Below are 27,261 nucleotides of genomic sequence, written 5' to 3' on the forward strand. Positions count from 1 at the left end.
CTATGATCTGCCATTGCACTCCAGCCTGGGCAACTGTGCTCGACTCTGTCTCAAAATCAAATAAACAAACAAACTAAGTCCCCTCAACTGACTAAACAGATCCTTCCTGGACAAAGAGATCCTAGGAAAATCTTTTTTTTTTTTCTTGAGACGGAGTCTCGCTGTCGCCCAGGCTGGAGTGCGGTGGCGCCATCTCGGCTCACTGCAAGCTCTGCCTCCCGGGTTCCCGCCATTCTCCTGCCTCAGCCTCCCGAGTAGCTGGGACTACAGGCGCCCGCCACCGTGCCCGGCTAATTTTATGTATTTTTAGTACAGATGGGGTTTCACCGTGTTAGCCAGGATGGTCTCGATCTCCTGACCTTGTGATCCGCCCACCTCGGCCTCCCAAAGTGCTGGGATTACAGGCGTGAGCCACCGCGCCCGGCCTATCCTAGGAAAGTCTTAAAAACTGAGTTCCTTCCCTCCACAAGATGGGAAGTCAGTCACACCTGGTTATACCTCCTCCCTTATGTCGTTTAGAAACAACAAACGACCGGCCGGGCGCGGTGGCTCAAGCCTGTAATCCCAGCACTTTGGGAGGCCGTAGGCGAGCGGATCACGAGGTCAGGAGATCGAGACCATCCTGGCTAGCAGGGTGAAACCCCGTCTCTACTAAAAATACAAAAAATTAGCCGGGCGTGGTGGCGGACGCCTGTAGTCCCAACTACTCGGGAGGCTGAGGCAGGAGAATGGTGTGAACCCGGGAGGCGGAGCTTGCAGTGAGCCGAGATCGCATCACTGCACTCCAGCCTGGGCGACAGAGCGAGACTCCGTCTCAAAAAAAAAAAAAAAAAAAAGAAAGAAACAACAAACGACCAACATTAACGTTAAAATAGAGATCACAAGACTGACAGAACAGACTCTTTGTGACAATTAGATACCAAATTATAAACAGGACCTAAGGCCATACTAGGCAAGAGTTAAATGACTAAGTGCAAGGTTTCTCTTTTTCTCTACCAGCTAAACCAGCACTGGCCTGGAGATAAACACAATTAAAACAGTTACAACTCTCTGCCAGATGCAGGCTAACTGACCTGTTCCACAAGCCTAACTATGGCTTTGATTAGACAAGAGACTGATTTCTGTAACTTTCTCCTGTTAAGAGACAACTAACCATGCATCCATGCATTGGTTCTGGCTGGCTTTTTCTTTTCTTTCTTTCTTTTTTTTTTTTTTGAGATGAAGTCTCGCTCTGTCACCCAGGCTGGCGTGCAGTGGCATGACCTCGGTCACTGCAACCTCTGCCTCCCGGAGTCAAGCGATTCTCCTGCCTCAGCCTCCAGCATAGCTGGGATTACAGGCGCGTGCCACCATGTCCCGCTAATTTTTGTATTTTTAGTAGAGACGGGGTTTCACCATGTTGGTCGGGCTGGTCTTGAACTCCCAACCTGAGGTGATCTGCCCGCCTTGACCTCCCAAAGTGCTGGGATTACAGGCATGAGCCACTGCACCCGGCCTGGGCTAATTTTTTGTATCTTTAGTAGAGACGGGGTTTCACCTTGTTGGCCAGGCTGGTCTCAAACTCCTGACCTCCTGATCCACCTGCCTCAGCCTCTCAAAGTGTTTGGATTACAGGCTGTGAGCCACCGCGCCCAGCCCAGTTCTGGCTGGTTTTACAGAGGCCAAGCACTTCAATACCTTTCCCGTCCCTGATTCACTTTCTGATGTGGAGGGCCTGATTATAATACTTTTACTTTATTTATTTTTTAATTGTTGTTTTTTGAGACGAGGGTCTCACTCTATCACCCAGGCTGAAGTGCAGTGGCATGATCTCAGCTCACTGCAACCTTCGCCTCCTGGGTTCACACAATTCTCCCACCTCGGCTTCCCAAGCAGCTGAGGCTACAGGTGCATGCCACCACGTTCGGCTAATTTTGTATTTTTAGTAGAGATGGGGCTTCACCATGTTGGTCAGGCTGGTCTCAAACTCCTGACCTCAGGTGATCTGCCCACCTTTGCCTCCCAAAGTGCTGGGATTACAGGCATGAGCCACCGCGCCCTGCCTGATTATAATACATTTAAATGTTAAGTCGCCACCCCAAATGAACATAGGTCATATGCAACATACAGATTTGTTCACTATGTGTGTAAGACCACCTTCATACATATTAATAGCTCCTTCCATAAGTTAAATATGTTTACTTGGCCAACTCCTCAATATAAATTCTTGTTGCACCCTTCCCTCTCTCAAAGTGCTTACTTTTGTTTTTTTTGGCCCGAGGCTGCACGTCCTGCCTACAGCTTATAATCCCCTTCTTAAGAAATAATGCTCTCCTTTCTAAATTTATAAACGGTGTCATTTTTAAGTTAACACTATCTTTTGCTACTACCAAAAATGTAGGACAGGAATTTTTATTCCACGCCAACTCTTCCAGAGTCTTGAAGTCTTCCTGCAGATTGTTAATGAACAATTATAGCAAAAAATGAATGAATGAATTAACGAATGTATAAGTGGATGAATGACGAATGAACCAACAATGAATGAATGTAGAGAAAGCCTCAAGGGGGCCCGAGGGTACGCTGTGCTGCGGAGCATGCCCACCAGGTGGCGATGCCAGCGGCGGGCGGGCCTGGCCGGATTGGCCGCGCCGCTCTTGCCGTGGGTGCCGACGGCGGCGCCGGGACGGGCGTGGGGGGTAGGGCGAGTCATATGATCCGCTCGGCTTCCTGGGTCTGGCTGCTGCCGCCCGCCGGTGTCCGCCCGTGTCGCGCCGGGGCACCAAGGAGCCGTTGGAGGGTCCGGGCGGAGGCCCGCTCGTGTGGAAGTCGTCGACGCCGCCGCTCGTCCGTCCTCCCGTCCGTTCTCGCTCCCGGCCGCCATCATGCTGGCGCTCATCTCCCGCCTGCTGGACTGGTTCCGTTCGCTCTTCTGGAAGGAAGAGATGGAGCTGACGCTCGTGGGGCTGCAGTACTCGGGCAAGACCACCTTCGTCAATGTCATCGCGGTGAGCGCCCGCCCACTCACTCGCCCGGGGCTCCGCAGCCAGGAGTCCGGCCCGGCGCTTCTCCAAGGCCTGAGTTGGGGCCCCCCTCGGCGCGATGGGACTGATGGCGGGGGGCGTGCGAAGCTGGGCCTGTCATCTCCCGAGGGCCAGCATTTGGAATTTCCCGCGTGTTGGCGGCGCGGGGAGTAGCACTGAGATCGGCAGCGGAAGGGTTAAGTCAGTGTAGACATTTTCCAAGGGCTGTGTCCTCAACGCCGCGGGGGCTCGGAAAGAGTTAAATTGAACTCGTCACATTTTTAAAGCGCTTGGGGATTGGGGTTTCCCTTGGGTTTGCCCAGTAGGGGCAGCCAAAGAGTTAAGTCCAGTCTGTCACTTTCCCAAAGGGTGGGATTTGGCAAATCCGTCAGCCGTACGAGAAAGCGTAAGCATTAAGAGCCTCTCTTAAGTTGCCACTTTGGACCAATAGACCCATTGTGAAAGCGGGAGACCAGTGTGAGCGCCTTCCTGAATTCTGTGGGCCGCTGGTCCCATCTAATTCAGTTACTTGTTTTCACCCGTCCCCCAGGCGCGGAGACCAAGCTCATTGCTGAGCTCCAGCTAGCCCACAATACATAGTATTTATTAAGCTAAGAGTTAATTGTCTTAAGCGACTAGATAAGATGGATCTGCAGTTAGCATAAAGTTAACTACCCTGCGAAAGAGGAGTTGGTCTTTAAATGGTGTTTTTCACTTGAAGAGAAAAGAAGGTACTGGGCAGGAACATAGCTTAGCAGGCCTAGGGAATGGGTGGAAGGAAAATTGCACTGAGGACTTACATAGAATGTGGTGTTTGTTCAGCAATGATTGAGTAGAAAGGTGATTGTTTCGTTTTGCTTGTTTGGTTGGTTGGGAAATAAATAGGAGTGAAAGATTTCGCCTCGATCTTTATTTAGAGCCCAAGAGTTGTTGTGACTCAGTTTTAGCTGGTAGTGGCTTGTACACGCCAGGGGAGTTTTAGAACTGTTCTGAAGAGAGATGGCAGCAGTTCTTCCACCTTTTCGATGACTGTTGAAATCCTGAAGATTAGCTGTCCGACTGGTTAGGTTACACAAGATGATTCAAACACAGCTTTCATGTTTGAGAAAATAGGTAACTTGTGATTCTTAGTCCTTGCACTAATAAAGCAACAGGAATGAGTAAGTCTTGGAGAAAAAGAGATTAGCAGAAACCCCAAAGTCCTTTGAAGAATGATGTATATAAGGAAGATTTACCTGCTTGTTGTTCGGCTCCTTTTCTAGTAGTATTATTATTAATTTTTTTTCTTGAGACGGAGTCTCGCTTTGTCCCCCAGGCTGGAGTGCAGTGGCGAGATCTCAGCTCACTGCAACCTCCACCTCCCAGGTTCAAGCGATTTTCCTGCCTCCACCTCCTGCGTAGCTGGGATTACAGACGTCCTCCACCACGCCCGGCTAATTACTTTTAGTAGAGATGGGTTTTGCTTTGTTGCTCAGGCTAGTCTCAAAACTCCTGACCTCATGTGATCCGCCCGACTCGGCCTCTTAAAATGCTGGGATTGCAGGTGTGAGCCACCGCGCCTGGCCTCCTATTGTAATATTATGATTTTTTGCGCTTGGAATGACTATCTTTCCGCAGGAATAGAAGAGTGGAATGTGTATCTAATACCACTAATTTTTTTTTTTTTTTTTTTTTTTTTTTTCTGGTAGAGACAAGATCTTCCTATGTTGCCAGGCCAGCCTTGAACTCCTGGGCTCAAGCGAGCCTCCTGCCTCGGCCTCCCAAAGTGCTGGCATTACAGGCATGAGCCACCGTTCCTGGCCTAATACCACTAAAATTAATGAGGAAACATGAACTTCGGGTTACATATTTATATTAGAATTTTTTTCTTTTCTTTTTTGGAGACAGGGTCTTGAGCTTTCACCCAGACTGGAGTGCAGTGGTGCAGTCGTAGCTCACTGCAGCCTCCAACTCCTGGGCTTATGTGATCTTCCCTGTCTCAGCCTCCCAAGTAGCTGGGACTACAGGCATGTGCTACCACCATGGCTCGCTATTTATTTTTAATTTTTATTTTTTATAAAGACGGGCTCTTGCTATGTTGCCAGGGCTGGTCTTGAGCTCCTGGCCTCAAGCAGTCTTCCTGCCTTGGCCTCCCAGCATACTGGGATTATAAGCCTGCTAGAGCTTTTATATAATATGGAAAAGATGAGGCATAAGCTTGAGTGAAGTTGAGCTCAGTTAACTGTAAATTTTCTCATATCCCCTTGAGATGAGAATTGGAGTCATCTTGTAAAACTTGCTCTTTGACAACATGGAATTAATGTTTCATGTGGATAGGTGTATTAATACAGCCAGTTGTATTTGTTGCAGTTGAGTTGTTATGCTTGGGAACTCTAAAAAGTTGAGCAAATCTTTGAGAAACTTCTTGGTGATTTTTATGCTTCTGTTTTCAGTAGACAGTGTAGCTTAATGAGCATGACCTTTGAAGTCAGACAGCCCTGGATTTGAAATCTGGCTCTGCCGCTTAGCAGCCTTACATCCTCTTTGAGTCCTTACTTTCCCATCTATTAAATGGAGGTAATGATATGTTTCTTACAGAGTTGCTCTAGGGATTAAATGACATGAAAGATGTTAAGTGGCTAGCACTCATACTGGCCCACAGAAGGGGATAGGTAGATGGTAACTGTTGTTATTTGTAATTGGGCGTACCTGTTTAATGCAGGAACGATGGCTTGAAAAATACTGAGAAGGGACTCAACTGGTATCATTTTCTACTTTGAATCACTGTATCTATCCAGATGTGGGCTGCAGTAGTGGATTTATGGATTGGGGAAAGTAATCGCATCATGTGTTCCCCCCTGCCCCGCCCCCACCATTAGATTATTATATTTAACAACAACAAAACTTCTGCAAAGCTGTTGAAGTCAAAGTGAACCAGTGGCTCCACCATTATCTTTTTTTTTTTTTTGAGACGGAGTCCCGCTGTGTTGCCCAGGCTGGAGTGCAGTGGCATGATCTTGGCTCACTGCAACCTCTGCCTCCTGGGTTCAAGCTATTCTCGTGCCTCAGCCTCCCGAGTAGCTGGGACTACAGGCGACTGCCACCATGCCCAGCTAATTTTTGTATTTTTAGTAGAGACGGGGTTTCACCATGTTGGGCAGGCTGTTCTCGAACTCCTGGTCTCAAGTAATATGCCTGCCTTGGTCTCCCAAAATGCTGGGATTACAGGCGTGAGCCACTGTGCCCAGCCCACTGTTATCATTAGACTATTCTTTTTAAAATTGTAATGGTGTGGGTAGCTTCAGTTAAGAAAAAAAAAGTCACAAAGATAAGGTGATGGATGTGTAATTGGCTTGAATTAGTCATTCCACACTGTAAACATGTATCAGAACATCTCATTGTACTCCATAAATGTATACAATTATGATTTGTCAATTAAAAGTAATATTAATTTAAAAAAGAAAAAAGACATCTGGGCTGTAATTGGCTGTGGCTTTTAAGATGCTGAAAGGGACCCCCTCAGTGAATTTCATACTTTTTTTTTTTTTTAACCTCAAGGCTCTAACCTAACCCCTGATTCTTATAGAATATGTTGAGGATGTAGTGATTAAAATCCAAGTTAGTGATTAAAGATGATTTTAGAGATTTTTAGGTAGAAACAATGTGTCCAAAATAGTAAGTTTAGCCTTTTAAAAAATCAGCTGCACTTTTTGTATTGTATATAAAATAGTTGCTTTATAGAATCAGAAATACAGATGTATTGAGTACTATGTGTCACTCTAGAAAGGTGACCATTTACTTATTCACATTTAAGAAGCGACTTCTCAGGTATGAAAAGCTTCAGCTGAAGCCAATTTTCTTTTTGTAAAAATCAACATTTTGTAAACATTAAAATGTCACTACATGTGCCTTAAACATTAAGGAAGATTTAATAGATGTCATTTAACTTACTCAAAAGGTTCATGAGACTGAATTACTATTATATGTAGGGTTTGGTTTGAGTCTAAAAGATAATGCAGCTTAGTTACAGAATGCTCAGACTTAGAATGCCTTTCCTTAGGATTTTAAAACTGAAATGATACCTAATTTAATCCAGTTTTATGTAGAGACACTTGATATATGTAGTGTTCTCTTTTGTTTTGAACATTATAAAAAAGAAACACCCTAGTCTTGTCTTTTCTGATTAGTGTCAAGGAATGAAGTATTTTTTCCATTGCTAACTGTTCTGGCAGTTATTGCACAATAAGTCATGTGCCTATATGTGTAATGTATATTGAGTAATCTTTATTTTTAACTGGGGCTTTTAGATATGTTATAGTTATTAAAAAATATCTAATAGGATTTGCCAAAATAATATAGGATAAATCTTATGGACATTATGTATTTTTTAAATGGAAGTATAAAAATTTGTCTACACTTTTGCACATTGTTGATACCTGAAAGGTTAATCCAAGGGAAAGTTTATTACTGCTGAGAATTAGGAAAAGAAGATATTTGGGAAGACTGTAGAAATATGAACCTAGAATCATTTTTTAAAGAGTTTGTAGAAACCTTGATTAAGTAGTCTAATTTTCCCCTCATTTTTTAGATGTGGCTAGCAGATCCAGTGAGGTTAAGTGGAATTCCAAGGCAACAAAGCTAATTCGTAGCAGAGATAGAATTAGAATCTGGGGCCAGTGTACTTTCTACTTTTCCCACCTCTTTAGATCCAGCTGAGGTTAGAACCATAGAACTGTGGATTGGGAGATCTTAATCCATTAAACATCTTTTTTGTATTTAATTTAATTTAAAAAATCAGCTGCAGTTTTTGTATCGTATATGAAATGTTTGCTTTATAGAATAAGAAATACAGACGTAATGAGTACTGTGTGTCTCTCTAGAGAGAGCATTTTAAATCCAGGCATCTTAAGCATACTGACTAACATTTGAGGACTATATATTTATCTATGAACATGAATTAGGAGAAGGAATGATAATCTGTGGAAAGTAAGAGTGGAATATTATGTTTGGATATTTAAATAACTGGCTAACAGGCATTACTGAGTTGTTGAACTACTTTTAGTATCTTTAAAAAGCAGAGGGAGATCAAGACCATCCTGGCTAATGCGGTGAAACCCCGTCTCTACTAAAAATACAAATAATTAGCTGGGTGTGGTGGTGGGCACCTGTAGTCCCAGCTACTCGGGAGGCTGAGGTAGGAGAATGGCGTGAACCTTGGAGGCAGAGCTTGCAGTGAGCCAAGATTGCGCCACTGCACTCCAGCCTGGGCAACAGAGCGAGACTCCGTCTCAAAAAAAAAAAAAAAAAAAAAAAAAAAAAGCGGAGGGCCAGGCGCAATGGCTTACGCCTGTAATCCCAGCACTTTGGGAGGCCAAGGCGGCCGGATCATGAGGTCAGGAGTTTGAGACCAGCCTGACCAACATGATGAAACCCCATCTGTACTAAAAATACAAAAATTAGCCTGGCGTTACTCAGGAGGCTGAGGCAGGAGAATTGCTTGAACCTGGGAGGCGGAGGTTGCGTTGAGCCGAAATTGAGCGACTGCACTCCAGCCTGGGCAACAGAGTGAAAATCCGTCTCAAAAAAAAAAAAAAAAAAAAAGCAGAAATAATTTTGTATTTGATTGTATTGCTTATTATTTAATTTCTTTGGAGGTAAGAATGGCAAAAACCATTTTTAAAGAAAATGGGCTGTGGTTCAAGTCTAGATGTTTTACACATCTGAAACTTGACTGGAGAAGCTAGTCTTCCAATAAGGTGGTCTTCAAGTATAGATTCTGAGTTGTGGAAAATGAGGCATCTTACAAAGGAACATCTCTACCTTCCATAAAGTTTTCTACCCTTCATCCCCGCTCCAATTATTTGTTTTTCCTTGCAGACCAAGAATCTTGAAAGCCAAATGTTCTCATTAAGAAGCTGTTAGAGTGCAATAATGCATTCTAAATGCCTGTCTTAGAAGATATTTCACAAGTTAATGGATTTTTTAAGTTTTTCAAAGATATAGTAAGTGGATGGTTACTGAACATGGATACAAAATACATTGAACCTATAAAAAAGTTACTCAAATATTATTAAAAAATTTTTTTTCTGAAATTTTTTTTGTGTTATCAAAACAATACAGGCTCATTAGCGGAGATGTGAAAAGAATAGTATAAGGTAGAAGAAGCCACTTATTTCTACCATCCAAGATTAACTACTGTCAACATTAAAAGCATTTCGTTTTTGTCTTCTTAATGTGTATATCCAGATGTCTTTTAAAAAGTTCTGAGATAATATTACTTATAATGCTTTATATTCTGGTTTAATTGTTACAGTGTATGCATTTTTCTATCTAAAACATTTTTCATGTCTTCATAGTTTATTCCATTGTGGTATGTCTTGTGGATATGCCATAACATATTTGGTAATTCCCTTATTGGACATTTGAGGGATTTTTCCTATGTTTTCCTATTGTACTCAATTTGATCTGCACTTCCTGAGGATGTGTTCCAGAGTTGGTATTTCTGGGTCAAAAACGCATTTTATGTCATATGGCCAAATTGCTTTCCAGAAAGTGTACACTCCCACTGAGAAGGTCTGAACAGTTTTTGTTTTTTGTTTTTTGTTTTTCCAGATAGAGTCTCGCTCTTGTTGCCCAGGCTGGAGTGCAGTGGTGTGATCTTGGCACACTGCAACCTCCACCTCTCGGGTTCAAGCAATTCTCCTGCCTCAGCTTCCCAAGTAGCTGGGATTACAGGTGTTTGCCACCTCGCCCAGCTAATACTGAGCAGATTTCATATATAAAGTTGGACTTTGGTTAAGCACTTTGTCCTCTGGTATTTTTTAGGACAAACATAGTTTTGTTGATGAAGTAGAACGGTATTTTAAAATTATCCTATTAGATACTGCTCTGTTTGTGTTTAATATATTTTAAGAAGTTCCTTTTTATATTTCAGCAACTGCCAAGACTGATAACTATAGAGAACATAATTCTTTCTGAGACAAGTTCTTGCTCTGTTGCCCATGCTGGAGTGTAGTGGCATGATCATGGCTTATTGCAGCCTCCACCTCCTGGGCCCTGGCTCAAGAGATCCCCCCACCATAGCCTCCCAAGTAGTAGGGACCACAGGCGTATGTCACTACGCCTGGCTAATTTTTTTAAACAAGATTTTTGCTGCTGGGTGTGGTGGCTCACGCTTGTAATCTCAGCATTTAGGGAGGCAGAGACAGGAGGATTACTTGAAGCCAGGAGTTGAAGACCAGCCTGGGCAACATAGTGAGGCCACATTCTCCACATTCTCTCTCTCTCTTTTTTGTTTTTCAGACAGAGTCTTGCTCTATCACCCAGGCTGTAGTATAGTGGCATGATCTTGGCTCACTGCAACCTCTGCCTCCTGGGTTCAAGTGATTCTCCTGCCTCAGCCTCCCAAGTAGGTGGGACTACAGGCACGTGCCACCACACACAGCTAGTTTTTGTATTTTTAGTAGAGACAGGGTTTCACCATGTTGGCAAGGCTGACCTCGAACTCCTGACCTCAGGTGATCTGCCTGCCTTGGCCTCCCAAAGTACTGGGATTACAGGCGTGAGCCACTGCACCTGACCAAGGTCATATTCTCTTAAAAAAAAATATATATTTTTTTTTTGTAGAGACTTCATCTCACTGTGTTGCTCAGCCTGGTCCCGGAACTCCTGGGCTCAAGAGATTCTCCTGCCTCAGCCTCCCAAAGTGCTGAGATTACAGGCAGGAGCCACCACGCCTGCCCCTGAGAACATAGTTCTTTTTTGTTGAGCTTCCCAGGCAAGCCATGTAAATATAAATACAGCTCATCCCCTTTACTTATCATGCTGCTATTTTGTTTTAGAAGTATTGGTAGATTGCATATTCCATAACCCTGATATATTTCAGTATAATCCTTACCTAATCTTGGACCTATTATAGTGGGATGCTGCTTGCTTGCTTGTGTGTGTGTGTGTTTTTTTTTTTGGCGGGGGGATGGAATCTTGCTTTGTTGTCCAGGCTGAAGGGCAGTGGCATGATCTCGGTTGACTGTAACCTCTGCCTCCTGGGTTCAGATGATTCTCCTGCCTCAGCCTCTCCCCAGTAGCTGGGATTACAGGCTTGCGCCACTACGCCTGGCTATTTTTTGTATTTTTAGTAGAGATGGGGTTTCGCTACGTTGGCCAGGCGAGTCTTGAACTTCTGACGTCAAGTGATCCGCCCGCCTCGGCCCAGGCATGAGCCACCACGCCCAGCCTATGAACCTATATTCTTACTTCAGTATGCAAAATGTAGCATAATGTTAAGAATGAGGTTGCTTAAAATCTAGGCTACACACATAGTTAGGCCTGCCTTTTCTTCGCTCTTTTCTTTTTTTTCTTTTTCTTTTTTTGTTTTTGAGATGGAGTCTCACTCTGTCATCCATGCTGGGAGTGCAGTGGCACGGGGATTCAAGTGATTCTCCTGCCTCAGCCTCCCGAATAGCTAGGACTACAGGCACCCGCCACCACGCCCAGCTAATTTTTGTATTTTTAGTAGAGACGAGGTTTCACCATGTGGGCCAGGCTGGTGTCAAACTCCTGTGATCTGTCCGCCTTAGCCTCCCAAAGTACTGGGATTACAGGTGTGAGCCACCGTGCCCGGCCACCATTTTCTTGAAAGCTCATTTTGTCCGGAGAATGTTTTAATGCCAATACATGGACTTCATCATTTGTAAATAGTTCTTATCAGAGGAAAATCTAGGAAAAGAAAGGAAACCTACATTTCTCTCCTTCATAATTTAGCTATTTCGTTTCTAGCTTTTGGCAATCTTATTTCAATAAAAAAATTAAAAAATTTTTTTTTTTTTTGAGACAGAGTCTCACTCTGTCACCCAGGCTGGAGTGCAGTGGCGCGATCTCGGCTCACTGCAACCTCCGCCTCCCGAGTTCAAGCGATTCTCCTGCCTCAGCCTCCTGAGTAGCTAGGGTTACAGGCGCACGCCACCATGGCCAGATAATTTTTGTATTTTTAGTAGAGACAGGGTTTCACGATGTTGGCCACACTGGTCTTGAACTCCTGACCTCAAGTGATCCACCCACCTCGGCCTCCCAAAGTGCTGGGATTACAGGTGTGAGCCACTGCACCCAGCCTACCCGTTTCTTAAAAATATTAAATTGACGTTACAGGTTTTCATTAACCCTTATATGAATATTTTGGTTACTGCCATTATTTTCTACTCTTAAGTGACTGAAATGTTTAACTTTGGTTTTTGTCTTTTTTTCAGAGTTCCGGTAATTTCAGAAATGAAATGATTTGACTAGTTTTATCCTTTGAATTTTTCTGTCATTCTTTCCTTTTTTTGAGACAGGGTCTCACCCTGTCACCCAAACTGGAGTAAAGTGGCATAATCATGGCTCACTGCTGCCTCAACCTCTTGGGTTCAAGCAGTCCTCTGCCTCAGCTTCCTGAGTAGCTGGGGCTACAGGCATGTGCCGTCATGCCCAGCTAATTAAAAAAATTTGTTTTTTTGTAGAGGTGGAATCTTGCTGTATTGCTCAGGCTGATCTTGAACTACTGGGCTCAAGCTGTCCTCCTTCCTTGGCCTCCCAGTGTTGGGAGTACAGGCATGAGCCTGTACTGTGCCTAAGTCCTCCCATCCTTTCTGTAGTAGGTATTGCCCTAAGTTAGGATTGATCATATTCCCTATGATCATCATTATTATTTTTTTTTTTGAGGCAGAGTCTCACTCTGTCTCCCAGGCTGGAGTGCAGTGGCGCGATCTCGGCTCACTACAACCTCCGCCTCCCTGGTTCAAGTGATTCTCCTGCCTCAGCCTCAGGCTCTCCCCACCATGCCCTGCTAATTTTTTTGTATTTTTAGTAGAGATAGGGTTTCACTATGTTGGCCAGGCTGGCCTTGAACTCCTCACCTTAGGTGATCCACCTGCTTCGGCCTCCCAAAGTGCTGGGATTACAGGCGTGAGCCACTGCGCCCGGCTCCTCTCATTATTTTTAACCATCAGAAATTATCTTGTTCTCTTGTTTCTAATAGTCTGTCCCTTTTCACAGAGCCAAGACTTTATCATATTTTACAATGCTGTACCCCATTGCTAAGAACAGTCCCTGCCACATGACAAGCTCTTTAAATACTGAATGAATGAATGAATGAATAATAACAGCAAAGTATACCTACTCCATGCATGTTTAAACTAGGTGCAAGGCATTGTGATAGATAACTTATAAATGTACCAGACAAGGTCATTTATGGTCGGGTATGTGCCATGTATAGGAGAGGAATATTAAGTGCCTTAAGATACAAAATGCTATTGGAATTCTCCCCTGACCCACCCCATTAAGACATTGGAGGAGTTTTATTTAGTAAGGCTGTTTGCTGAGTTTTGGTTGGACAGTGGCAGGAATGGCTTTTGAGCTGGGTTATAAGAGTAGAGGAATTTCATTTATTCAACAAATATGTCAAGCAGTGTTTTGGGCAGCATAAATATAATGGGGAGCAAAGCAGACAATGTTCTTGCCCTTGTGGAACTGCCGATATCATGTGGGGAAAAAAGATATTCAAGCAGGAACAGTGGGAAAAGCAAAGGCACAGCTGAGGGAAAGAAATTTTTTTGTTGGTTTAGGCATAACCTTAGTGAAGGAAAAAGAAACAAAGGCTGGAAAAGTAGATCAGTCAGCTCCCACAGGGCCTTGACTGAGTGTGACATTAGGCATGGAGGGCCACTGAAGGTTTTAATTCAGAGGAATAAGATAAGACCTGTGTTTCCGAAGGATTAATTTAGCAGCAATATAGAGACCATCCGCAAGGAAATTGGTTACAAGGTTATTACAGAGGTCTGGTTGAGAGACATTGAGGGAGACAGTTGGGGAGGAGGGGAAAGGTACGCATTATTATGGAAATAGGATGAGTACAATTTAGCAATTAAGTCAGAGGTACAGGACAAAGGGGAATTTGCAAAGACCCTTTTAAAGATTTGATTGAATGGTGGGGAATATGGTTGTACCATCAGCAAACAGCAGTTACAGGGTGGGGAAGAAAGAATGGGTTTAGAAGAAAAAGGGATGATTTGAGTATAAATTGTATTACAGGCTGGGGCGTGGTGGCTCATGCCAGTAACCCCAGCACTTTGGGAGGCTGAGAAGGGTGTGGATCCTTTGAGCTCAGGAGTTCAAGGCCAGCTTAGGCAACATAGTGAAACTCTGGTCTCTACAAAAAATAAAAAAATAAAAAAAATTAGCTGGATGTGCTGCTGCGTGTCTGTGGTCCTAGCTGCCGGGGAGGCATAGGTGGTAAGGGGATGGCTTGAGTCCAGGAGGCTGCAGTGAGCCATGATGGTGCCACTGCATTCCAGCCTGGGCGACAGAGTGAGACCAGGTCTCCCCTGCACTGCACAGCACACCCCACACCCCTGGAAAAAAAAGTGTTACATAATTAATGATATAAAGGGATGGCTGGTTGGAAATGACAGGCTATGAATGCTATATTTAAGTTCAGTGGCACAAAAACTGAGAATTAACATTTCATCCAATTCCTAATTTTGTCTTCAGGAGTATAAGAGATACAGGAAGTAGTTGAGATCCATTCCTAGTTTCTCTTCAAAAGAGTGGGTTGTAGGATCTTTTATTTCTACTGATTGCTGTCACTTACCGTACCCTGCTGATGACTCGTTTTGCCAATGTTTCGGACACAAGGACTAGGCAGAATGTTCTCCACTCCTCAGGATTGCTGTTGGGCTATCTTGATTTATTTGTGTATTTATGTACATGAATCTGTGGCCAGAATGCAGTCTGCCCAGAAGAGGTCTTTAATAGCTGGGATGAAGGCTGTATATTCAGAGTGGGTCAGATTCGTTTGCAGGCTGGGAAGCCTTTGCTGTCGAATTCGAAGAGTAATTTTTCTGTTTCTGGAAAGTGCCTGGCTTAGGTTTGTATAGTGACTTTCTACTGAAGAGAAAATTTTCTAGGTGTGATTTGTGTGCTTTAAATCTAAAGGATATTTGATTTCTTGACATTTAAGTTGGGATTTTTCTTTGGTGCCAGGTAAACACGTAGATAGTGTTAGAGTATCATTTTTCTTCTACTCAGATTACATTACTGATCATTTTACTGTGTGGTTGAAAAGACAAAGTGTGATCCTTGGTCCTCATAGCCCAGTTAGGTTCTTTGATATCTGCTTAGAGACTCATTTAGAGCAGTCTAATAATGGATTTATAGTGCTCACAGATAGCAGTTCATTTTGGAACATGCGGACATTACCATAAAACAAGTTAGGAAATGGCTGTTCCACCTTCACTATGTCATTCTTTTTGTTGAGATGGAGTCTCGCTCTGTCTCCCAGGCTGGAGTACAGTGGCATGATCTCAGCTCACTGCAACCTCCGCCTCCCAGGTTCATGCGATTCTTGTGCCTTCACCTCCCAGAGTAGCTGGGACTGCCGGCACACACCACCACGCTTGGCTAATCTTTGTGTTTTTGGTAGACACAGGGTTTCGCCATGTTGGCCAGGCTGGTTTCAAACTCTTGACCTCAGCTGATCTGCCCACCTCAGCCTCCCAAAGTGTTGGGATTACAGCCATGAGCCACTGCGCCTGGCCTACTATGTTATTCTTTAGGCTAGTTAACATATAGTTCCTAGACATCCTATTTTATGTAATCATCCTTTCCTCCCATTTCCAATACAAAGAACGTTCAGTAAAAATTATTTCATTTAATTAATGAAACACATCTGATCTTTTTATTTATTTATTTTTTTTTGAGACAGTCTCATTCTGTTGCCCAGACTGGAGTGCAGTCTTGGCTCACTGCAACCTCTGCCTTCTGGGTTCAAATAATTCTCTGCCTCAGCCTCCCTAAGTGCTGAGATTGCAGGTGTGAGCCATTGTTCCTGGCTCACTTAATTATTACTATTATTATTATTTTTTTGAGATGGATTCTCGCTCTGTCGCCCAGGCTGGAGTGCAGTGGTGCCATCTCGGCTTACTGCAACCTCCACCTCCCAGGTTCAAACGATTCTCCTGCCTCAGCCTCCCAAGTAGCTGAGATTACAGGTGCACGCCACCATGCTCAGCTACTTTTTGTATTTTTGGTAGAGACGGAGTTTCACCATATTGTCCAGGCTGGTCTCAAACTCCTGACGTTGTGATCTGCCTGCCTCGGCCTCCTAAAGTGCTAGGATTACAGGCGTGAGCCACCGCACCTGGCCTATTATTATTATTATTATTATTATTATTATTATTATTATTATTATTTTGAGACAGGGTCTCACTCTGTCGCCCAGGCTGGAGTGCAGTGGCGCGATGTTGGCTCACTGCAACCTCCACCTCCCAGGTTCACGCGATTCTCCTGTCTCAGCCTCTCGAGTAGCTGGGATTACAGGCACATGCTGCCCCGCGTGGCTAATTTTTTTGTATTTTAGTAGAGACGGGGTTTCACCATGTTGCCCAGGCTGATGTCGAACTCCTGAGCTCAGGCAGTCCACCCGCCTCGGCCTCCCAAAGTGCTGGGATTATAGGCGTGAGCCATCACGCCTGGCCTATTATTATTATTATTTTTATTATTATGTATATTTTTGAGATGGGGTCTTGTTCTGTTGCAGGCTGGAGTGTAGTGGCGTGATCTTGGCTCACCGCAGCCTCTGCCTCCTGGGTTCAAGTGAACTTGATTATTTTATAAAATGTTTTCACGTAAGGCATTATATTATTCTTTTGGCCCTCTTGCTTTAAGTAGACATTTACTGATTTATGTAAGATAAACAAAGATTAAGTGACACAGTTAATTGTCATTTGGGTCTGAAATTCAATTCCAATTCAGTCTGAAGTGTACTGTTCCATAAAATAGATGAGTTATGAGGAATCTGGGTTCCATTTTTACACATCCTTTAGGGTCTTGCTTTGACTCCTGATAAATCTAATTCTTCCGCCTCCTGTCACTGAAATTAGTTTGGAAGCTGGGCATGACTTTATAGTGTTCCATGTGCATTTTTTGCTTTCTTTGGCTCTTTGTGCCAAGTGTTTTAAGTCTACTCTACTAGCTGTTAGTACTACCCTATGTTATCTTTCCTAGGAACACTTACAAATTTTAGTATTTATTCTGGCAGGATTTGGAAAGGGGATTTAAATTAGCTAGTGAAATTACAGCAGAATGGCTGTGGGCAGAAGGATAGAGGAAGTAGGCCTTTGAAGTAAATGTTAGATTGTGGTAATGATGGAGAGACTGAGACGCCCAAGATACCAATTGATTTTCTTTGCCTGTGATGCTTGTTTTTGTCCGCTGGTACTCCTTTCCCCCTAGATGGCACTGTCTTACTCATCGTTCAGGTCCCAGGTCTGTAAAACTTTGCCCTAACTCGTCTCCTCACAGCACTTGATCAAAATTATATTTATCTGTGCAAATTATCTGTTCATTGGTCTCTACCTTCAGACAACAACCTTTCAATATTTATGGCCTTTAAATGAAGCAGTGTGCCTACTGCTCTGTAATTGTTGACTTAAATAGAGTAAAACAGTATAGGGTAATGTTTAAGTATGTGGGATCAGGCAGGCCTAAATTTAAATTCTGGATATGCCAGAATTCTGTGACCTCCTCAAAGCTTCAGTTTCCTCATTGGGGATTTGGGCATGAGAATACTTGCCCCATGAGCTCATGGTGAGGTAAGACAGTTGGCACAGTGACTGGCATAGAATGAGTACTCCTTAGGTGGTAGGTTGATGTGATATTCGGGGGTTAGGGCAGGATCATGTGCTCTACTAGATGCTAGATGAAGTGGAACCCCCTCACCTTTCACGTGAGCACTGAGTGGGAATTCAATTTCAGAAGGTAATGAAAGTTCCTGAGTTTCAGAGTAGAAGTGTACTGGGCACAAGGGACCAGTTTTTAATTTTCTCTTTTTTTTTTTTTTTTTTGAGATGGAGTCTCACTCTATCACCCAGGCTGGAGTTCAGTAGTTTGATCTTGGCTCACTGCAAACCTCTGCTTCCTGGGTTCAAGCAATTCTCCTGCCTCAGCCTCCCAAGTAGCTGGGACTACAGGCATGCACCACCATGCCTGGGTAATTTTTGTATTTTTAGTAGAGACAGGGTTTCACCATGTTGATCAGGCTGGTCTCAACTCCTGATCTCAAATGATCCACCCGCCTTGGCCTCCCAAAGTGTTGGGATTACAGGCGTGAGCCACCATGCCCAGCCCTTTTTTTAATTTTTAAAAACTTTTTATTTTTTGTGGCGACAGGATCTCACTGTGTTGCCCAGGCTGGTTCAAACTCCCGGCCTCAAGTAATCTCCCACCTCAGCCTCCCAAAGTGCTAGGATTACAGGCACGAGCCACTGTGCCTAGCCTGGTTTCTGATTCTGATTCTTCTTTTTAAATCTTCTTTCTTTGCTCACTATTATTATATTTTAATGGTTTCTGATTCTTGAAGGTTTTCTGTCATTTTGAGAGAGAAACTAAAATGAGAGGTTTTTGTTGTTGTTGTTGGGGATTTTTTTTTTTTTCGGTGCCATAACCCATCCTAGATGTGCTAGGATGTTAGGGGCAACTTGGTGAAAAATTTACTGGTTTATTTGGGTTTTTCTTCTGCTGATAAATTTGGTTGTAGTTAATAGTTTTGGCTTGGTGGAAGAGATGGTGATTGCTCTAAGTTTTTTTTTTTTTTTCACCAGAGTAGAAGACTAGCAGAGCATCTATTTACAACCTCTCAATTTATCATGGAGTTTGTATTTTGTTGTTCAGCAGTCTAACATTGACTTCAAGCTTTTGTACAAATAATGACTCTCGTTCATTTGCCAACAAATAACTGCCAAATGCCTGAGGCATTACACTAAAGTGGAAAATCACTTTTAGGGCTTTTAAGTTTAAACTTAGGTTCAAATTCCAGTTTTGCCACTATTTAGCTGTGTGTATGTGACCTTGTGACCTTGACCTCAAGTTTTCTTTTCTGTAATACGAGGCCAGAGTAAAATGAGTAATGCTGAGCTATTATCATTATTATTTTTAAATAGTATAAGCCAATTACATATGGCTTAGCTAATAAGGATGTGTTGTTGATGCAGTCATCACATGTGATTGAAAAGCATTCCTGTCACTCCAACTTCTTACTGCGCTTACTGCACCTGCCACACTCCCCACCCTGATGATAGTAAGTGGAATTTTAGGCAGCTACTGAATAAATAATGATTTTACTATCTAGAAGGCACTGCAGTTTGGAACCTGAGAAATGTACAGTGACTTAGTATTTTATGACTGTCCATCATTTTAAGAGTTGAGTTTCACTGTGAAACAATGTCGAAAGCACTGACTGGACTAATGGAGTGGCTTTACAGTGCTTACTGTTTCTTCAGTAATACCCAGAGAGAGCTGCAGTGTGGAGGAGCCGGTGAAAGAATGTATTCAGCCCATGGCATTCTCTGCAGCCACACCACTGTACTGCCAGGATCACTTGAGAAACAGATGTCTCTACTGATATATAAGCAGACAGCTAAAAGATTCCATACACTGTAGTTTAAAATGATTTTAGGGAATTATTAATAATATTTTAAAAAATTGTTACTGAATTTTTTTACAGTAGAAGGGAACATGAGACAATCCATATGATACTATTAGTTTGGGAGATGAAGTTGCAAAATTGTGAGGCAGAAAAATGTTAAAAGTAGGCACTAAAGGACTAAGAAGTTACAATCTTGGCTTTAATGTATCCAATGACAGGTGCCATGGTTTGCTTCCTCCAGAGTCTAACAGGCAAAATAGTATTTGTAAACATTTTCTTGCCTCTACTATGCCTAGGCTAGCAGTCTTTAAAGATAGTCTTTAATGGGAGGATTGCCTATTTATCTTATGATGTACCTGTGGAACAGAATTTTAGGGGCTTCATTTATCTTCCAGGTAGAAAAGAGCTGATAAGGGGTTATGGAGATGTTGTCACCTGGCATTATATGCTATAATCCTTGGTCACATTTATAAGTTTTTTTATTCTAATACAATGGATCTGAGTGTCATTAGGAGCCTTGCAGACAAGTGTTTCTGGGTAACTTCTCAGTAACATCTTTGACATTTGTTTAGTTGCAGACCTAAATGGCCACTGATGGATACTGCAGTTTCAGTAAGCAGTGGAGTTTATTTCCCTGGAAGTAGAATGAGGCAGACCCAGAATATTGTAGAGTGCTTGTCATCAGCTGTATTTCTTCATGGCCCAGAAAAACTCCTATGTAACTTCCCTTAGAGAAATGAAACTGAACGGGAAGCAGAAGTAGTTACTGGATGATGTTGGACCTGGGAATTCTGAATGAGTCAGTTCAATTCCTGCAGGGTATCCTGTCTGAAAGAAATTAGGGCAGTATGCAGTGCAAGGCTTGCAGGGCTCATAGGTCTTTCTGTTATGTTCTTTCAGGGGTAGCAATGGTCAGGATAGCTTCTCACTACACAAGATGTGATTAGTTTTGTTTTTTTTTTTTTTTTTGAGACGGAGTCTTGCTGTGTCGCCCAGGCTGGAGTGCAGTGGCACCATCTCTGCTCACTGTAAGCTCTGCCTCCAAGATGTGATTAGTTTTTGTTCCTCACTTTGGGGAGCGTGTGTGGCAGTGTTTAAAAATAATGCTCTCCTGTTGGTTCTTAGGGAACAAAGTCTTCTGGTATGGTTTTGCTGGGTCCTCACCCAAATCTCATCTTGAATTGTAGCTCCCATAATTCCCACATGTTGTGGGAGGGACCCGGTGGGAGATAACTGAATCATGGGGACGATTTTCCCCATACTGTTTTTTGAGGTAGTGAATAAGTCTCACAAGATCTGTTGGTTTTGTGGTAAGGGGAAACCCCTTTTGCATGGCTCTCACTTCTCTCTAGCCCACCACCATGTAAGAAGCCCCTTTACTCTTTCTTCATCTTGTGCCGTGATTGTGAGGCCTCCCCAGCCATGTGGAACTGTGAGTCAATTAAACCTCTTTCCTTTGTAAATTACCAGTCTTGGGTATGTCTTTATTAGCAGCATGAGAACAGACTCATACACCTTCTTGGTTTTTTTTTTTTGGCAAAATTTCAACACGTTAGTCTTTAACTCTCTAGTGAATGTTGGAGCAGTCTCCAGATTGCTTAAAACTGAACTAGGGGTACAGTCCATAAGGAAAATATGCCCTGAGGGGCTGTATGTGTGCAGCCGTATGTATGGAGCTGTGATTTGTTGTCATCTGAAATTCTAGGCTATAATAATTGTTCCTGGGGCTCAAAGAAACCATGACGGGTTACTACCAATAACATTCTGGTGGGATGTTGGTTCACGCCTGTGAGAAACACTCATTTACTCATCCAAACCCAAAGAATGGACTTGGAGACATGAAGAACAGCGGAAGCAAGACTTTTATTGGCGGTCTTGCAAGATCTGGTGTCTGGTAGGCAGTCACACCGGGGACAGTTACAACAGGTAATTTATCTCCTAGCACGCAAGTCCCTCCCCCAGCTCCTCATTGGTTGAGTACTATGGGGTTACAATCTTCCTGGACATTGCCTAAGTTTTATTATCCCCCTTATAAGGTTATACCGTGGTCCCTTTCCCCACTTCAGTTTCGATTTCCCAATAATGAAACTTTCTCCCCTTTTAGGGGCTGACCCCTCCTCTACATTCTGTTCACTTATCATGACCTTCTGGGTGCATGAGCTGTGTGGTTTATTACATCCACAGGCTGGCTTCCAGTACTTAGATTTATTATGCCTCGAAAATGGACCACTTAAAATGTTTTCTCACAAATTTCCTTCCTTTTCTATTTACTTCCTTTGGTCTCATTTTCATCTAAACCCTTTTGGTCCTCAAATTGCTTTAGAAGTCATTTACTTTCTTCCTTATAGGAGAGTGAGTTTATTTTGGTTTCTAATAGTAGCAGGTTATTTTGCTGGTAACTTATTGGCATTGTTTATTAATAGCTGTTTTAATTAATCTCTGTGCTAGTCCCCTCACACACAAGTAATACTACATCCCACTGCTAAGACTCCTGCTACAATTATGAGAGATGTAAGGATTGAAGCCACCATGCCTTTCCATTTTCCAAACCAACCATTTAGCCAACCCGTAAATGGGTTGTTAATTCCAGCATTTTCTGCCTGTTCGTTGGCTAGAGTTGTCAGTCCTTGTAAAGCTTTTGTGATGGTCCCATCTGGGGCAGTATTGTTGGGAATGAAAGTATAACGTTTCCCACCCAGCATAACACTTACACCCCCTTTTTCTGGTATTACGTCTAGTGCAAGCCTGTTTTTCCAGGCCATTGGGCTGGTGGCATCTAACTGGCTAGCCATCCCTTTGAGGGTGTCCTGAGTATAATTGATGAATCTTTGTTGATTATAATAGATGTAGTTAATCTAGTTCACATTCTTATTAATAGTTGACCACAGAAGAGTGCTGACTCAAACCCAGCAGCTATTTGGTTTTGGGCCTTAAATTTATTCGGCACTCCCCTAGGGACTCCTATTGAGTCAACATATATATTGACATTAAAAGAGTTTGTCAAATCTCTCTGCTTTCAGTGGCCGTGTGTGTTTTCAGGTATCTTATGGAATGCCAGGGTGAAGGGAATGGCCAATTAGACTAAAGCACAAGTCCCGGTCCAGTTGGATGGTAACAAGTTGGGGAGGTTCCTTTTCCCATAGTACCACCAGACGTTAGCCTGGGGTATATGGAGAGCCGAGTGATTGCCATCGCCTGACTTACCAGTGATGTTTAGGATGTGCGTACAAGTTGAGAGTTTTCCCACGGGCTTATTGAACTCTGCCCCCTATCTAGAGAGGCAAGAGGAGTGGTTCATATTCCCTAGAGAGAATGAGGGGATTGCTTTGGGATCTGACCTCTGCAATGTGGGAAAGAGCAGTGACAGACTCTTTACAAGTCTTGTTTCCCCATGCGTCCTTGTCCTGGTATAGAGCCAACATGCAATCCATTTCTTCAGGATCAGTATCCCATCCTAGGGGAAATGGAACCACCTGTGCCTGAGGTCCTCCCGTAGCACACGCATAGCAGTCACTCTTGTTGAAGGCTTGTACCGAAAATTTGATCCATTTGACCCAGGCGTTTACATCCCTGCACCCTGTCTCAATTTCTAAGGTTTGCCTTAAATCCTTTACCTCAATTATTTTTACCTTTTAGGGTTATTATTTGGCAGACTAAAGTGTTTATTAGGGTCTGGAGTTGGAGTAGTTCCAGGCAAATGAGAGGTTGAGTTTTTTATTAGTTTGAGAACAAATCACCCTATGGGGTCTTTCCCTGTGATGTCTGCCCCTCACGTATATACCTGAGACACTACTTTTGGTTCTTGGCCTAGAGTGGCTGGATTGCTAATGGCAATGAGTATAGGGTTGCGTTCTAAATTTTGGCAGTTATTTGGCAAGGAGCCCTTGGACAGATGTAGTTTATTCTTTAAGTGTCTTCAGCTCGGAGTTACCCACCCCGTGTTTACTGTCCAACCCTGAATTGGGTGGTTCACCATACATCATCCCAGCTGGGGCATGGTAATGCCATACTGTAATCTGTATCTGGTTCAGGGCAAAGATGTTTATTCACTTGTGAGAACTATCTCTGAGTTTCAAAATTCCCACAAGGTGAGACCTGGCAGGCATCGAATCTTATAGTCTGGGGTGCTACCATCTTGGTTACATAGATTACAAACCTGATTGGGTAGGGAGGAGTTGCCTGCAAGTTTCCATTTTGACCTTCTGCTCTTTGCGTAGTAGGCCATCTCAGCCATATTAACTTCCAGAAATGGGGCCAGCCCATGTTTTCTTTTTAGATTTTTCTCAGAGTTAACTTTAAGGGTTACTTAAAGTTAACCTCTGCAATGTGGGAAAGAGCAGTGACAGACTCTTATAAGTCTTGTTTCCCCATGCATCCTTGTCCTGGTATAGAGCCAACGTGCAATCCACTTCTTCAGGATCAGTATCCCATCCTAGGGGAAATGGAACCACCTGTGCCTGAGGTCCTCCCGTAGCACAGGTGATCCATGCACTTTCCACTGGTCTTGTTCCTTCCCTTCCGAGGTCTCTTTTACCAGTCCCTTGACTTGAGTACAGTGAGTCCACCCCTGTTCAGCCGTTTGCACGGCCATCTTAGTGGTCAGGAGCACTTCATAGGGACCTTCTCAGGTTGGGTGGAGCTTGTCTTCTTAACAAGTCTTAATCAGCACCAAGTCACCAGGGTGGAAATGGTGAACTGTGAACTCAAGAGGAAGAGTTTGAGTCAGAAGTCCTTTTAACCTAAGGGATGACAGGGTAGAGGATATGGCCAGTATATAATTTCTTAAGAATTGATCCTTGGTTTCCAAAGTAGGAAGATCTGTAGCTCTGCCCAAATATGGGAGCCCATATAATAACTCGTAGGGGGACAATCCCAAGTCTTTTCTTGGGGCTGTCCTAATTCTGAGGAGTGCTATTGGGAGACATTTCATTCAAGGCATTTTAGTTTCTAAGATTAGTTTGGTGATATGCTTTTTGAGAGTTTGATTCATTCTTTCTACTTTTCTAGAGGAAGGGGGATACCAAGGAGTGTGATAATCCCATCTAATTTGTAAACCTTCCATAATTCCCCTTAATACCCTTGAGGTAAAGTGGCTCCCATTGTCTGAATTAATATTTTCCACCAGGCCAAATCTAGGTACATTCTGTTCTAATTTTATTTTGACCACATTCCCAGCAGTGGCTGTTGGGAGTGGAAAGACTTCCACCTAGCCAGAAAGGTGATCTCTGATCACCAGTAAATACTTTAGTTTTCCTACTTTGGGCATTTCTGTGAAATTTATTTGAATGCTTTGAAATGGTCTTAGTCTGGGAGGTCTTCCTCCTGTGGCCTGTTTTCTAATCACCTTTTTGTTTATCCTTTGACAAGTTACACAGCTTCCACGTACTTGTTTAGCAAAAGTGTAACTCCCTATACACTCATCATTCCTATGTATTGTATTACACAGAGCCTGGGGTCCCCATTGACTCCCTTTGTGTAATACAGACGTTAGTTCTCTCATCAGGGGTTTACTTATTTCTCTCCCATCAGGAAGTACCCACTTCCCGTTTTCAGTTTGTGTGACCCCTATCCTAATTCTTCCTTCTCCTTTCTGGTAAACTGGGGCCTTAATACTACCTTAGGGATGTCTGGGATCAGGCTAAATAGTCTAATTTCTTCCTCCAGGGAGGCTTGCATAGCAGCTTTATCTGCAAGCTTGTTTCCTACAGCTTCTATAGTGTTACCTTTCTGATGACCATTTATGCGAACTATGGCAACCTCTGCTGGAAGCTGGAGGCTTTCTAAAACCTGTTTGACCAGTTCCCCATGTACCAATTCTTTTCCCCTGCTATTTATTAGGCCCTGCACTGTCCAGATTTTTCCAAAAGTGTGTACCACCCCATAGGCATATTTAGAATTAGTGAATATAGTGCCTTCTTGGCCTTCAAGGAGCTTTAGCGCCTGGTTAAAAGCATATAATTCACAGGTTTGGGCCAACCAACCATTAGGTAATCTACCTTTCTCACATAAGGAGTGTTTATTTCCATCAGTGATAGCATAACCATTATCTCTCTTTGCCATCTATCCACTTGGGACAACCCATCCACAAACAGCCTTATCCCATCATGTTGTGGAGCTTCCCTAAGGTCAGGTTTAGCTTTGATTTTGTATTCAGTGATATCTAAGCAGTTATGGTCTGATGGCTCTTTGTTCTCTCCTTTGTATAGGAAACTGGCTGGATTCAGGCAAGTATTTGTTGTTACGACCAAATCTTTTTTTTCTAGTAATATGGCTTCATATTTTAGAATCTGAGAATCCAGTAACCATCTCCCGGCTTTTTGATTTAATATATTCCTGACCTGGTGTGGGGTGCTTACTATTAGGGCCCCACCAAAGGATAGCTTTCGACTCTCCTCTACCAGCAGGGCTGTGGCAGCTACTGCTTGTACACATTCGGGCCACCCGAGAGAGACAGGATCAAGAAGCTTGGAGACAAAAGCAATATGTTGCCTCTTCCCTCCCCAGGTTTGAGTGAGCACCGCAAGGGGCATGCCCTGGTCTACTGTTACAAACAGATGGAATGGTTTCTCTAAAGATGGGAGGACTAGGGCCGGGGCTGTAATGAGGGCCTGTTTTAGTTCTTTCACTGCCTGAATTTCTTCTGGGGACCATTGCAAGGAATCAGGTTCCTCCTCTAGTAGTTTCAGATACACAATCTTTGTCTTTTGAGCATATGACTTAATCTATAACCTACAACAGCCAGTTAAACCTAAAAATTTTCAGAGTTCTCTCTTGGTCTTAGGAAAAGGTAGACCCCTCTATTCCTGATATTCTCTCTGGGTTTATTCTCTTTCCTTCACTAATCAGGTGTCCTAAATATTTAACTTCTTTTTCTACAGACTGCAGTTTGTTTTTAGAGACTTGCAATCCCCTCTCTCCTAGGAAATTATTATAGTGGTTTCTGATACCTTGGCTCTCCTCTCCCCAGAAATTAAAAGATCATTTACATATTGTAACAACTGGGTTTCCCTGGAAGGTTGGAATTCCTCCAGGACTTTTTCTAAGACTTGACCAAATAAGTTTGGGGCTTCCGTGAAGCCTTCTTGCAGCACAGTACAGTGGTATTGTTGTTTTCTCCCAGTTGTAGGATTTTCCCATTCAAAGGCAAAGAGGTCCCTGCTCCTAAGGTCTAGGGGACATGCCCAGAATGCATCTTTTAGATCTACCACACTGAACCACTTATGTTCATAGGGTATCTTACTAAGGAGGGTGTAGGGGTTGGGCACCACAGGGTGGCAGGTCTGGACAATTTGATTTATAGTCCTTAGATTTTGCACCAATCTATACGACCCATCAGGCTTTTTGACTGGGAGAATTGGAGTATTGTATGGTGACATGCAGGGTTCTAATAGTCCATCTTTAATTAATTCCTCTATTACTGGTTGGAGCCTTTTTCTCCCTTCAGTAGAAATGGGATATTGTTTTCTGCAAACTAGTTCTCCTGGTTGTTTTAGTTCAGTCTGTAAGGGTGTGATTTTTAACCCTCTGCTGTTGCCTTTTTCTAATCGACACATAGGGATTATTTTGTCTTTCTTCCTCCTTTATTAGGAGGCCCATTATGACTTTTAATTGTTCTGCCTGTATTCCTAATTCTAAACCCAATCTCACAATCAGGTCTCCACCCAGGAGGTTAGTTTCTGCTTTGGGAACATATAAGAGTGACCTCTCAGTTCGTTCTGGTCCCAATCTAATTAACATTTTCTTGAATATTGGAACCTGAAATCTCTCCCTTTTAATCCCTGATACTGTCAATTTTTCCTTGGTTCAGTACCCCTTGGTGAATTAGGGAGG

The 27,261-nt window shown here is 43.2% G+C and overlaps 1 protein-coding gene and 1 long non-coding RNA gene across 2 annotated transcripts in view, besides 5 other annotated features; both read left to right on the forward strand.

The window, feature by feature from the left end:
- Positions 2,494-2,753: a silencer, noted in NCBI's record as "silent region_14023". NCBI's record gives its function as "represses an Ori minimal core promoter by ATAC-STARR-seq in GM12878 lymphoblastoid cells {active_cell/tissue: GM12878}" and the evidence as "EXISTENCE:reporter gene assay evidence [ECO:0000049][PMID:35858748]".
- The window catches only part of ARL8B (ARF like GTPase 8B), a 58,620-nt gene continuing 34,046 nt past the window's right edge, over positions 2,688-27,261 (forward strand). Inside the window, exon 1 of the mRNA NM_018184.3 lies at positions 2,688-2,984. Coding sequence (NP_060654.1) covers positions 2,862-2,984 — 123 coding nt within the window. The 5' untranslated portion in view covers positions 2,688-2,861. The remainder of the gene's footprint in view (positions 2,985-27,261) is intronic.
- LOC124906212 (uncharacterized) lies at positions 3,455-9,211 on the forward strand. The gene is made up of 2 exons (XR_007095800.1): positions 3,455-4,112; positions 8,856-9,211. It is a non-coding gene; the product is annotated as an uncharacterized LOC124906212 (long non-coding RNA).
- Positions 6,140-6,434: a silencer, noted in NCBI's record as "tiled region #5688; HepG2 Repressive non-DNase unmatched - State 23:Low". NCBI's record gives its function as "represses a minimal TATA promoter and a strong SV40 promoter by Sharpr-MPRA in HepG2 cells {active_cell/tissue: HepG2}" and the evidence as "EXISTENCE:reporter gene assay evidence [ECO:0000049][PMID:27701403]".
- Positions 17,020-17,314: a silencer, noted in NCBI's record as "tiled region #5493; K562 Repressive DNase matched - State 12:CtcfO". NCBI's record gives its function as "represses a minimal TATA promoter and a strong SV40 promoter by Sharpr-MPRA in K562 cells {active_cell/tissue: K562}" and the evidence as "EXISTENCE:reporter gene assay evidence [ECO:0000049][PMID:27701403]".
- Positions 20,539-20,628: an enhancer, noted in NCBI's record as "active region_19376". NCBI's record gives its function as "activates an Ori minimal core promoter by ATAC-STARR-seq in GM12878 lymphoblastoid cells {active_cell/tissue: GM12878}" and the evidence as "EXISTENCE:reporter gene assay evidence [ECO:0000049][PMID:35858748]".
- Positions 21,249-21,388: an enhancer, noted in NCBI's record as "active region_19377". NCBI's record gives its function as "activates an Ori minimal core promoter by ATAC-STARR-seq in GM12878 lymphoblastoid cells {active_cell/tissue: GM12878}" and the evidence as "EXISTENCE:reporter gene assay evidence [ECO:0000049][PMID:35858748]".

The sequence above is a fragment of the Homo sapiens genome, chromosome 3 (genome assembly GCF_000001405.40).
Source record: "Homo sapiens chromosome 3, GRCh38.p14 Primary Assembly".
Lineage (NCBI taxonomy): Eukaryota > Metazoa > Chordata > Mammalia > Primates > Hominidae > Homo > Homo sapiens.